We start from the raw sequence: 13,212 nt of genomic DNA on the forward strand, positions 1-13,212 counted from the left end.
CCATTAACTTATGTCATGAACATTTTCCTCGATCACCATATATTTTTTGAAAAAAATGGTTTTTAATAGTTAAATAATATTTCATCATGTGTGTGCCATAATTCGTATAACCATTCCCCTGTTGGTGAACATTTAGATTATTTCCAATGTTTTGATATTACACAAAACATTCTGATTGATACCCTTGTATACGGTTTTTGTGAATCTCTGATTATGTTCCGAAAAGATTTTTTTAAGGTGGAATTAATTGGATCAAAGGGTATGAACATACTTAAGGTTTTTGATGTATTTGGCCAATTAGCTTCCATTTCCACTGACAGTATAAGAATGTCTATTTCAAGATCCTCACTAATGTGGAGTATTATTTTTTAAGACAATTTCTGTAAATTTGATAGGTTAAAAATGTTATTCTTTAATTTGTATTTTAATTTGTATTTCTTTTGTTAATAATAGGGTTGAACATTTGTGTGCAAGTGTTTCTTGGTCATTTGTGTGTGTGTGTGTGTGTGTGTGTGTGTGTGTGTGTGTGTGTGTGTGGATTGCCTGTTCATACCCTTTCCCCATTTCCCTATTGGGGTGGGTTCATCAATTCTTATTGATATATAAAAGCCTTAATATGGTTAGAATATTAATTCTTTGTCATATATATTGCAAAGACTACTCCCAGTTTATAGTTTGCTTTCTTTTTTTTTTTTTTTGTGATTGAGTCTTGCTCTGTTGCCCAGGCTGGAGTGCAGTGGTGCGATCTCAGCTCACTGCAACCTTCGCTTCCCAGGTTCAAGCGATTCTCCTGCCTCAGCCTCCTGAGTAGCTGGGACTACAGGTGTGCGCCACCACACTCGGCTGATTTTTGTATTTTTTAGTAGAGAGGGGGTTTCACCATGTTGGCCAGGCTGGCCTCGAACTCCTGGCCTCAAGTGATCTGTCCACTTCAGCCTCCCAAAGTGCTGGGATTACAGGTGTGAGGCACTGCGCCCAGCCTGTTTTTTAAATTTTATCTTGATGTACAGATGTTTCATATGTTTTTATGTGGTCAAATCTATTAATGTTTTGTATATTTTGCCTGTGCCCAGAGGTTTAGAAGGGCCTTGCCTACCCGAGGGCAAATAAATACTGTCCGAGTTTTATTCTAGTTATTTAATATTTTTGTTTTTGTATTTGTTATTTTTTTAGAGACAGGGTCTGGCTTTGTCACCCAGGCTGGAGTGCAGTGGCATGATCATAGATCACTGGAACCTTAAACTCCTAGGCTCATGTGATCCTCCTGCCTCAGCTTCCCAAGTAGCTAAGGACCACAGGCACATGCTACCAAGCATGGCTAATTTTTGTGGTTTTTTTGTAGAGATGGGGTCTCACTGTGTTGCCCAGGCTGCTCTCTCAAATTCCTGGCCTCAAGTGATTTTCCTGCCTTGGCATCTCAAAGCACTGGGATTACAGCCAAGAGCCACTGTGCCTGGCCTGTTTTTGTGTTTAAAACCTTAACTTGCCTGGAGTTGATTTGTGATGTAAAGTAGGGTACTAACTTAATTTCTTCCAAATGTTAATGAATTACCTCAGTACCATTTGTTAGATAATCCATCATTTCTCTGCATTTTTGAAGTACCACCTTTATTATAAATAAAATTCTTTTATACACACACACACACGATTTGGACTTTAATATTTTACTTTTGGATTATCAGTTACTGAAAAATGACCATAGGTGTTTTGACAACTTAGATGAGAAGAGTATTTCTCCAGGTCCCATTTTCTGAGTTTCTTCCACAGAAACTTGACCTAAAGGAGATTCAGTTGAGTTTGTGATCCTGTGGGTGTGACAACTGTGAAGAACATTTGAATCGAGACTCTCCATTGACCTGGTAAAACATAGAAATTGGTTACATTAACTCAAGTTGTCAAACTTCATCATAAAATGTGTGTGTTTTAGTTACTGTGTTATAGTATCTCTGTTAAGTGGAAAAGATTCTTCTTATCAAGTGTACCCACCACCTGGAGAACAGGGAAAAGGTACAAATCTGTCTTTATTCTCATGTTTTTTGGATGAGGTATTTTGTTTTGGTGGTCTTTATGTATACTTTGGCTTATGGGTTGCAAGAGCCAAAGACTCTGTTAATCTTTCATTTGAATATGCTATATGAAATTGCTTTAAGATATAGAGAAGGCCCTATTGAGGCTTTTACCCTGAGCTGCTGGGTGATCCGGAATAGGTGAGAAGGCAAGATCCTGTGAATACTTTTTCTTAGTTTGATGTGAGATCAAGGCATTTTTCATTCCAGTCATTTTAGACCAGGTAGATTTTTTTTTGTTTGTTTGTTTCATTTTTGTTTATGAGATGGAGTCTCACTCTGTCGCCCAGGCTGGAGTGCAGCGGCGCGATCTCGGCTCACTGCAACCTCTGCCTCCTGAGTTCAAGCGATTCTTGTGCTTCAGCCTCCTGAGTAGCTGGGATTACAGGTGCCCGCCACCATGCCCAACTAATTTTTGTATTTCTAGTAGAGATGGGTTTTCACCATGTTGGCCAGACTGGTCTCAAACTCCTGACCTCCGGTGATCCGCCCGCTTCGGCCTCCCAAAGTGCTGGGATTACAGGAGTGAGCCACGCGGCACCTGGCCTAGTATAGCATTTTCACTCAGTAGCTCTTCTTGCATCCTCACTAAGCTCTTTGGGGGACAAAAACATCCAGTCAATAGGGATAAACTGGAAATTTTTATGGCATGCTGATCCGGCATGTTTTGTTTTCTGTTTTCTTCTCAGTATCCTTCAGGATGGTATCCAGAACCCTGGCTATGTGTGTGTATGGCCGAGGAAGCATACACAGTGACAGTGCAGGGACCAGAATAAGGACACCCAGCTTTCTGGGTTAGTCATAGTTCCAAAATTATTCTAAAAGTAGAACTGAAATTATTTTTCCTCAAGCAATATTTGCCCATTGAAGCCTATTTGCCATATTTCTGCCCTCTCACATAGCCTTGAGAAATATTTTTGGTAATTTATGTTTATTGATTTGGTATTGTTTTTACCCAAAGAGTTTAGAATTATTTGCAGATTTGAAGATTTCCCTCTCTAAATTATATTTAAAAATTAAATCAGACTAGTTCTAACTTTGATTCCGTATGGACCTCATTGATTTGGTCATAAAATCATAATGATGTCATAATTAGAAGGGATCTTAGAAATTATCTAGTTTTAGAGGTGTTAGACAACACCTCTAAACAATGGACCCATCATTAGAAACTAACCCAAGTAATAGGCTTCATTATTATTATTTTCAGACAAGGTGTTACTCTGACACCCAGGCTGGAGTGCAGTGGTGTGATCATAGCTCCCTGTAGCCTTGAACCCCTGGGCTCAAGCGATCCTCCTGCTTCAGCCTCCTGAGTAGTTGGGACTACAGGCGTACACCACCACGCCTGACTAATTCTCTTATTTTTTTTGCAAAGACAGGGTCTCAATATGTTGTGCAGGTTGGCCTCAAAATCCTGGCCTCAAGCAATCCTCACACCTTGGCCTCCCAAAATGTTATGATTACAAGTGTGAGCCACTGCATCTGGCCCCATAACTATTTTATAAAGACAAGTTTGTGATTCCTAGAAATGTTCTGATATTTGGCAATTCATATACTTACTCCATACTAACAAGTATCTTCTTAATGGGCTTATTTTACTTTCACCTCCATCCATTTCTTTCTTTTTTTTTTTTTTAAGATGGTGTCTCACTCTGTCACCCAGGATGGAGTGCAGTGGTGTAGTCTCGGCTCACTGCAACCTCCCCCTCCCAGGTTCAAGTGATTCTCATGTCTCAGCCTCCTGAGTAGCTGGCATTACAGGAGCCCACCACTATGCCTGGCTAATTTTTTGTATTTTTTTTTAGTAGAGATGGGGTTTCACCATGTTGGCCAGGCTGGTCTCGAACTCCTGACCTCAAGCAATCCACCTGGCTCAGCCTCCCAAAGTGCTGGGATTACAGGCGTGAGCCACCGCGCCAGCCCATCCATTTCTTTTTAAAATATGAACCATAGTGTGAAGGTTTATACTCCAAAGGCAAATATAGGAACCTAAACCACAATTCATACTCCTCAAATTCTGTGACTCTCTCTGAGGCTGTAACTTCACTTCCACCAGAGTTCTGTTATTTTTCACAATTGGTGACTTATTTCTTTGAGCCTCAGGGCAGCTCAGCAATGGCAAATGAGGGCTGTATGAGTTTGAGATTTGAATGTCTGCACTTCCATAAGATGGAAAGAACTTTTTGGGCAGCAGTTGATTTATTTTGAGGTTATAGGCAACTAAAACACGAGCCATTATTCAGCCATGTCTTCCCTACTCAATATTTGTGTGGGAACTCAAGGTCAAGAAGATACAGTTCTCTATTTCACTTTATTTTTATTTGCATCTTCTGATTCTTTCTACCTATCATAATCTGTGTGTTTGAAGTCTGTCATCCAGTTGCTTCCCCAGTGTCATCGTCATTTCTAATTTTTTTTTTTTGAGATGGAGTCTTGCTCTGTTGCCCAGGCTGGAGTGCAGTGGTGTGATCTCAGCTCACTGCAACCTCTCTGCCTCCTGGGTTCAAGCGATTCTCGTGCCTCAGCCTCCTGAGTAGCAGAGATTATAGGTGTGCACCACCACGCCTGGCTAATTTTTGTATTTTTAGTAGAGACAGGGTTTCACCATGTTGGCCAGGCTGGTCTCAAACTCCTCATCTCCAGTGGTCCGCCCACCTCGGCCTCCCAAATTGCTGGAATTATAGGAGTGAGCCACTGCACCCAGCGTCATTTCTAAATTTGATAGGCAGGATGTTATTTTGTAGCTTTTCCCTTTTATATCTTCATTCGAGTCATTGGTAGTCTGTACTATATGCAGAATAAATATCGTCTGTTGCTACCACTTGTTTCCTGTCTCTACAATATTTTCCTGCCTATAATCAAATAGAACCAAATAAACAATACAGGTTGAGAAACTGAGCACCTCTCAGCTTTCCAAATTAATAAAAAATGTCATCTTTAATTTTTGACAATTTTCCTGTCATTAGGCAGGTAGATGGATTTGGAAGCAGAGGCTTAGAGGAGAGACGGACTTGGAAGCCTGGGTGTGTGTCCAGTTCGCAATAGGGAACTTGTAGTTTCAGTCCCCTTTGATGCCTTATTGGGCTGTTAACTATGTCTTGAAACCTCTGACATGTTAGTGTTTTGCAGAAGTGGTTCGTGGTTTTGTTGGTCAGTTTTTAGCATGTTTGGGTGGGTGAAAGGAGAAAGTTTGTATTCCTTTTTTTTTTTACATTTGTTCCTGAGGAGCCAAAATTTGAGAATCACAGAGTCCAGGTTTGTCCTGTCAGACCTCTATATCCAGTTGGCACATTCAATAAATGTTGACTCAACAGGGGTGCAGATCGCCACACTAAACCTTGAGAAGGAAGCAAAAACCACATCAAGGAGCTTATATTTTAGTAAATGACATCACCACTAATTCTGAGCACTAGATTTTAAAAGGGTGAGGTAGTGGAGGGTTAGGAAACTATGTTGGATGAAGAATGGTTAAGGAAATAACAACATTTAGCCTGGAGAAGACATAACTTTTTTTTTTTTTTTTGAGACGGAGTCTCCCTCTGTTGCACAGGCTGGAGTGCAGTGGTGCGATCTCGGCTCACTGCAAGCTCCGCCTCCTGGGTTCACACCGTTCTCCTGCCTCAGCCTCCTGAGAAGCTGGGACTACAGGCGCCCGCCACCACGCCCGGCTAATTTTTTGTATTTTCAGTAGAGACGGGGTTTCACTGTGTTAGCCAGGATGATCTCAATCTCCTGACCTCGTGATCCGCCCATCTCGGCTAAGACATAACTTTTTGAGGACATTCTTGAGATCATTCTTCATTATGGCTGATATTATCCCACCTTTTCCATGTCTCCAAGGAAAAAACTCAGATTCTTTGCCTTTGATCCTTTCTCACTCTACATCCAATCAGATGTCAAATTTTCTCCCTTCAAGCCCCAATATATTTCTTTTTTGTCTTTCTCCACTTTTGAAGGATCCAACATATTTCTTGATTCCTGTCTCTTCTTTCTGTCTTCATTGCCCTTATACTATGTCAGGCCTTTATAATTATTGTCTGTAGTAGTAGAGCAGCTTCCCGGTCTCTGTTATCTCTCTCTCTCTGTCCTCCAATTCTGTCTTACACTCCCAGAATAATTTTCCCTCAAACCTAGTTCTAATTGTGTTACTTTCCTGTTTAAACACTTAAACGCAGTTCCCATTGCCTAGTAAGAGAAGTGCTATCTCAAGCACTTATAATCTGGCCTGCAACCTACCATTACTTCCCCTTCCCCTGTTTGCACTCTGCCATCTACTCCCATTTTATTCAGTAGTCTTGTTCCAGTCTTTTCCAACTCTTTGACCTTCTTTAAACTATTCCTTCACACTGTTTTGAAGGAAAGAACCCATCATGTTTTATGCTGTTTTAGACATGAAAATTAGGACCAGCTGGCAGAAGGGATGGCGCTAAACCAAAAAATTTTCTCGGCTGGGTGCAGTGGCTCACGCCTATAATCCCAACACTTTGGGAGGCCGAGGTGGGTGGATCACTTGAGGCCAGGAGTTTGAGACTAGCCTGGCCAACATGGTGAAACCCCGTCTCTACTAAAAATACAAAAAAATTAGTTGGATGTGGTGGCGGGCACCTGTAATCCCAGCTACTCCGGATGCTGAGGCACAAGAATTCCTTGAACCTGGGAGGCGGAGCTTGCAGTGAGCCGAGATCACACCACTGCACTCCAGCCTGGGTGACAGAACGAGACTCCTGTCTCAGAAAAGAAAAAGAAAAAAAAAGAATTAGAGAGCTTCCCAGTATTGGACATGTTTGAGCAGAGGCTGAAGGGCTAGCTGGTTTGGATGCTGTAAGAGCAGGGGCTTCTTATACTAGGGGCTGTGGAGAATACACAAACATAGAAAGCATGTGCTTCGTCTGTCAAGAAACTTAAATGTAGATATAAGACACTTCACTTATTCTCTCCACAGTAGCCAAAGTGACACACATATCTGATCATGTCCTTCCGTTCCTTAAAATCATTCAATGGCTTCTTTCCATTGAGAAAGAATTTATCTTAGGATAAAAGCAAATAACCTGTCCGGGCGCAGTGGCTCACACCTGCAATCCCAGCACTTTGGGAGGCCGAGGTGGGCAGATCACCTGAGGTCAAGAGTTCAAGACCAGCTTGGCCAACATGGTGAAACCCTGTCTCTACTAAAAATACAAATATTAGCTGGGAGTGGTGGCAGGCGCCTGTAATCCCAGCTACTCAGGAGGCTGAGGCAGGAGAATCGCTTGAACCTAGGAGGTGGAGGTTGCAGTGAGCTGAGATCATGCCATTGCACTCCAGCCTGGGTGACAAGAGCGAAACTCCGTCTCAAAAAAAAAAAAAAAAAAAAAGCAAATAACCTTACCATAGTTTACAAGGCCTTGTATGATCTGACCCCTGCTTACCTCTTAGTCTGATCTCCTGCCAGTATCCCCTTGCTTTCCTGTGTTCCATACATTTTGTACCCTTACATAATGCTGTTCCTTCTGTCTGGAATGCTTTCTTCACCAGCGCCCTTTCCCTGGACTCAGCTTAAATGTCACTTCCTCAGGGAAACCTTTGTTGAACTCCACCCCCTTCCCACAGGTAGGTTAAGTCACCCTATTAGTCTCTCTCTTAGCATTTTCTTCATCACAGTTATCACAATTGTAATTAAATAATTGTTTGTTTTGTAATTGTAATTTCTAGGGACCATTTTGATTACCATTATATTCTCAGCAGCTAGCACAATGCCTGATACACAGTAGACATTCAGTAATTTTTTTTTATTTTTTTTTATTTTTAGAGACAGCATCTCACTCTGTCACCTAGGCTGGAGTCCAGAGGTGTGATCATAGCTCACTGCAGCCTCAAACTCCTGACCTCAAGTGATCCTTCTACCTCAGCCTCTCGAGTAGCTAGGACTATAGGTGTGCACCACCATGCCCAGTTAATTTTTGAATTTTTTGTAGAATTGGGGTCTCATTATATTGCCCAGGCTGGTCTTGAACTCCTGGTTTCAAGCAATACTTCTACCTCGGCCTCCCAAAGCATTGGGATTACAGGTGTGAGTCACTGTGCCCAAACTTAGAAAATATTTGAATAAATAAATGAATGAATAAAACTTCTTGGAATGAGGTAGGAAAGATGGTGAAGGATGTAAAGGTTGTTCAGTGTCAGGCAGGGGAGAAATGTTTCAGGAGCAGGGAATAACAGGTAGAACTGAACAAGCTGTATTCAAGGGGTCCAGGCAAGCTAGCTCAAAAGAAGACCTGTGTAATTCAGATGTGGGATAGATAGGCTGGCTGTGATGGGAGGATGGTTGTAGCAGTCCTTGAAAGTTTGGCTGACATAGTAAAAGTAAAATTCTTTAGTGCTCATTGAGTCGTTATAGATACTTGGACAGGGGGGCTACAAATTCAAGCTTTAGGAAAGCTTTTCAAATAAGAATCTAATCTGGATTGAGTTTGTAAAGCCTTGGGGCAGAAGACCAGTTAGGGAGGTACAGCAGTGGCCCAGAGAAGAGATAATAAAATAGTCAAGGGAAAATTAAGACACGAAATCAACAGTACGGCAATGACAATTAAAAGTATAAAGAAATAGATTGAGGAAGCAATTAGGAAGAAACATCAGCAAAATTTGAGGAAACACTGGTTGTATGCAGGGAAAAGGGGGTGTCGTTTACAGTAATGGGGGTTTGGCATGAGGAAAAAAAAGGCTTGGTTTTCAAGTTGGGGGCAGATTTAATGTAGTCAAATTAGGTAGATACTTATAGAGGTAGATATAGTGTCATGTAGGTGGAACAGCGTCTTAACTCATGGTTAAACAGGGCCAGGGAAAGAGGGAGAGAAAGACCTGTGGACTAAGGCCTAACCTGGAGAACCAGCAACTCCACTCACCAAGAGGACACCTTTTCTATTATAATGCAGACAACATTTTAGCTCCTCTTTGTCCATTCCAGAATAAAATCTTTACTTTTGCATAACCAAAAGGCTCATTAAACTGTTTTTCTCCAAACAAAAGATCAATTTGTCCTCAAAGGTAAATTCTGCCTCCACTTCAGAAACAGAAAAAGTGCTGGAAGAGTGGAATAGTAGTTTATCCTTAGTCAGAAAGGTTTCAGGATGTTGGGGTTCAATTTGGTAGTGCTAATCAAAAATTTTAATTTGCATATAATTTGACCCTGCAGTTTCACTTCTAGGAATCTATGCAACAGAAATGCTCAAACAAATATACAGTGCAGGCCGGGCATGGTGGCTCATGCCTGTAATCCTAGCACTTTGGGAGGCTGAGGCAGGTGGATTCCTTGAGGTCAGGAGTTCGAGACCAGCCTGGCAACATAGTGAGACCCCCATCTCTACAAAAAATAAAATATAAAAAACAAAAAAAAACCCACAAATACACAATGCAGCATTGATTGTAATATTAAGAATTGTAAACAACTTAAATGTGTATCAATTGAAATATGACTGAATAAATTATGGTCTGTCCATAGTATGGAATCCTATGCAGCTATTAAAATGAAGTCTGTGTACTGACATGGATGATTTTTTGTTTGTTTGTTTGTTTGAGACAGAGTCTTGCTCTGTCACCCAGGCTGGAGTGCAGTGGCGCGATCTCGGCTCACTGCAACCCTCGCCTCCCAGGTTCAAGCGATTCTCCTGCCTCAGCCTCACTAGTAGCTGGGACTACAGGCGTGTGGCCACCACACCTGGCTGATTTTTGTAGAGACGGGGTTTCACCATGTTGGCCACACTGGTCTTGAACTCCTGACCTCAGATGAGTCACCATGCCTGGCCAACATGGATGAGTTTTCATGATGTATCAGAAAATGAAAAAAGCTTGCGTGTGAATTGTGAGTACATGTATATAAGCCATATATGCATGGAAGTAAGTCTGGAAGGACACATACTAAAAATACCAACAGTGGTATCTTCTGGGGAGTGGGATGGAGAAGTGATACAGAATTTTTAAAAAGTGTAAACTCAGCAGCTTTCTTTGCAGGCACATAAGACTGTGGCATCTTTAGGGCTTTCCTTTCCTGAAGGATTTGCAATTGTATTACCAAGTTTTATTTTTGAGAGCTTATCCACTCTCTGGCCCCACCTTTCTTTTCAGAGACACTGCAGGATCCAATTCTGTAAGTTAAGACCAGCAGCTCCAAACTTTATCAGAATCACACTGATGCTTGTTAAAATGCAGATTCCTGGGCCCCTGCTCAGTAGATTCTGATTCTGTGTATCTGGGATGGGGTGCCAAATCCTGATCTTTTAGAGGCACCCCAACTTGTCAGTGACTGGGGCAAAACCCTTCTTCGGTACTGACTTCTGATTGTGCCCCCTCCCACTTGTTTCTCTGTGATTAGCAACTGGGAAAAAGGAAAGAGGGCGATGACTGGATATCTTTGTGGGTCACAAACAGTTGGGTTCATCTGAATGGGAAAAAACAAAGCAGTTTAGTAGACTTGAGATTTTAGTGTTGCTTCTTTGAAGTGGGCCCTCTGGGTTAGAGGCTGGTCAGGTGGGCTTCCTAGGCGGTGACTTTGGCCTAGGAGATGTCCTCCAGCATTGGCTGCGATGGCTGTGTTAGTGACAAATCAGAGGGAAGGAGGGAGCTTGGCGAGTCCTGAAGTCTTAGAATTGAGATGCTTTTTAAGGGAAGCTTTTGTCCTGGGAAAATGATACCTCTAATATTTAAGATGAGGTAGTATCTAAGTCTATTCTAAACAGTTTTTTGTTAGAATGATTTTTCTTTGTTGTAAAAAGTTGTTAATCAGCCGCCTATTGTGGGTTGTTAACATCTCAAAAGGGTGTTTAAAAATAATAAACCCCAATTGCTCCCAACAATTAACCTTGGGAACAAAAGTAAATGTGAATGCTTCTTAACCACCTTTCTAAGCCCTCAGTGAAGCTGGCAGCCATCAGTTAAATAAACCATTAAGTTTATTAGTTTAAGAATAGAAGTGTCAACTTGGACACAGTTTTCTAATTTGCTCCTCATTTACCCAACAATCATTTATTCAAAGGCTGCTCTGCCTAGTAGACTTTAGATAAATCTACAAATAAAAGCCAGAGACTGATGGGCAGCTGGAACTCTAAGGGAATCATCCAAATGGAAAAAAAAGTGAATAAAACACAATTTAATAAACTTGAAATTTTAGCAGCACATGTAAAAACAAAAAGCGTATGCCTTAGAGCAATAGCTTTGTTCTCTTTCTGTAGTCTATTTTAAGTGGGCCCTCTGGCCCAGAATTATCAGCCTTGGATTAGGAGCTTTGAGGAAATGGTGGTTTCGTGGTTGTTTTTTAAAGGATTTTTAAAGAAATGTAGTTACTAAGCAACTGCCATGACCTGCTGCTAAGTTGGAGTTCAGCGGGCAAGTCGATTCCAAAGAAGGGAATATATAAACAAGTTTCAAGAAGGGGAAAACATGGCTTAAAGATAGATTGGGTGTACTTTTTTGTTCACAGTTCAATGCATAGTTCTTTCTCTCTTTGACTTATCTTCCCCTAAGAAAGGGCTGCCTGGTCAGAAATCTTTGTCTCACACGGTTCTGCCCATAGCCGGTGAGCTCAGAGGAGGGCCAGAAAGGAACAAATGAGAAACAATCCCCACCCAGTGTAGAGGGCCAAGCCCTGGGGTGGGGCCAGCACCCAGGCGGTCTCCAGAGGTAGACTGGCCTGCTGTTATGCTCTAGGACAGTCCAGGGCTTAGGTTGGGGCACCTCATTGATATTGATGGCTTGCCGTGTAACCCTCAGAACAGGAACATTGTCCAGCTGTTGTCTCTCTACCCTCCGCCACCCCACCCCCCGCAACGTTTAATGGGTGAGTCAGTGACTTAACTGCTTCCTCCAGGATTTCAGGAACAGGAGTAGGTAATGAGGACAAATCACCATAACACCGGCGTGTGATGAATGAAAGAGCACACGAATTTAACCCGTTGGTTAAACTGATATCACAGTGAACAAAAGAAACTTTGTTGAGAGGAGGTTATTTGCCTCACTCCATTCCTTCCCCTTTAGGCTTTAGCAATTCCCCTTACACCCAGTTGAAGGTCAGTCTGGTTGCTTTGCAGAGGGAAGGGGAGTGTCAGGTGCTGGAACAGGTGTTTTGTTTTCTCCTGTAGAGTCATACGGACTAGGTGGGGATGCTTCTTGCCAGCCCTCTATGGTGCACGAAATTGCTTTTGTGGAATTTTTTCCCCTGGAAGTGTGTTTGTTTTTTAAAGCAGTTTCCCAACCTTCAACCCCTAGTATAAATTTTGACTCGCTTCAAAGTCAGCTTGTCATAGTGAAGTGTGCCTGTTTTCTAGCATTTCCACGGCCTGTGGCCTTAGATATACCCCATTTTATGCGGCAATTATAGGCCTGGAAAATGTGTAATTGTGTGTTTGGTAAGTGTGAATATTGTATTTTAAATGTCCTAGGAGAATGTCACAGCAAAGCAGCCCTATAAAAAGCCTTTTATAATAATTGTACAGCTAGAGTTAATTTTCTTGTATCAGGTTTTCTTAAATTCGGCATAAACCTGTATTACATTTCCAGAGTGATAAGGCTGTTTCCAGCTGTTGTGATGGTCTCAATGGGCTATAAGGTTAGGGATGGACTTATGACCTCACTGACTGGATGATTTTGGAGGTGAGAGGTGTCAGCCGACTTCTCGGTTTGGGAGAATTTATGTTTTAATGTATGCTACTGAAGCCAAAGAGGCTATTGGTTAAAAGGGAAATAACTCAGGAGAGCTTTAATTCTCCTCATATGGTTGTTACGGTTGTGAGGTTTGTTTGTTTTTACCTCTGTACTGGGTTCCAATATCACCCCCCTTCACCCCAGCCAAAAAGTCATCCTGAAAAAATTGTCTTCTTGCCTAACAATGATATAATTGACCTCAGGTCCTTTCCAGCCCCTCCGCTCTGCGTCTCAGGGCCATCTGTTCTCTGCAATCCGCTTTTTGGGAAAGTCTCCTTTCCCATCTGCTCTCCTTGGGCCTTAGTGTCAGCTCTAAAGATTTATAAAGGTTGCACTGGAACCTCTTTCCAGTTGTTATTTTTATAAAGGATCAGTGACATTTTGAGGCAGATAAGAGCTTTGTGCATTTGACCTGCCCAAATGCTACTCCCTTTTCAGGTGCATTCTTTCCTTCTGTTAGTCTGGGGTTGAAGGG

The 13,212-nt window shown here is 41.9% G+C and overlaps 1 protein-coding gene across 18 annotated transcripts in view, besides 2 other annotated features; it reads left to right on the top strand.

Moving 5' to 3' along the window:
• Window positions 1-13,212, top strand: part of DLG3 (discs large MAGUK scaffold protein 3) — a 60,656-nt gene that overhangs the window by 20,924 nt on the left and 26,520 nt on the right. The window contains exon 1 of one of the 18 annotated variants that reach the window (XM_047441883.1): window positions 7,860-7,978. The exons of 16 other annotated variants lie outside the window; for them this stretch is intronic. Coding sequence is in view for 1 of the 2 variants with exons in the window: in XM_017029325.3 (XP_016884814.1) it covers window positions 11,871-11,874 (4 nt within the window). In the remaining variant the exon portion in view is untranslated. Of the gene's footprint in view, window positions 1-7,859; window positions 7,979-8,129; window positions 11,875-13,212 lie in introns of those variants that run through there. One more of the 18 variants, XM_017029325.3, reaches the window with a different exon arrangement.
• Window positions 9,692-9,811: a silencer, noted in NCBI's record as "silent region_20893". NCBI's record gives its function as "represses an Ori minimal core promoter by ATAC-STARR-seq in GM12878 lymphoblastoid cells {active_cell/tissue: GM12878}" and the evidence as "EXISTENCE:reporter gene assay evidence [ECO:0000049][PMID:35858748]".
• Window positions 11,337-12,235: an enhancer, noted in NCBI's record as "NANOG-H3K27ac hESC enhancer chrX:69696945-69697843 (GRCh37/hg19 assembly coordinates)". NCBI's record gives its function as "activates a minimal SCP1, AML or CMV promoter by ChIP-STARR-seq in primed H9 embryonic stem cells {active_cell/tissue: H9 hESC(primed)}" and the evidence as "EXISTENCE:reporter gene assay evidence [ECO:0000049][PMID:30033119]".

The sequence above is a fragment of the Homo sapiens genome, chromosome X (assembly GCF_000001405.40).
Source record: "Homo sapiens chromosome X, GRCh38.p14 Primary Assembly".
NCBI lineage: Eukaryota > Metazoa > Chordata > Mammalia > Primates > Hominidae > Homo > Homo sapiens.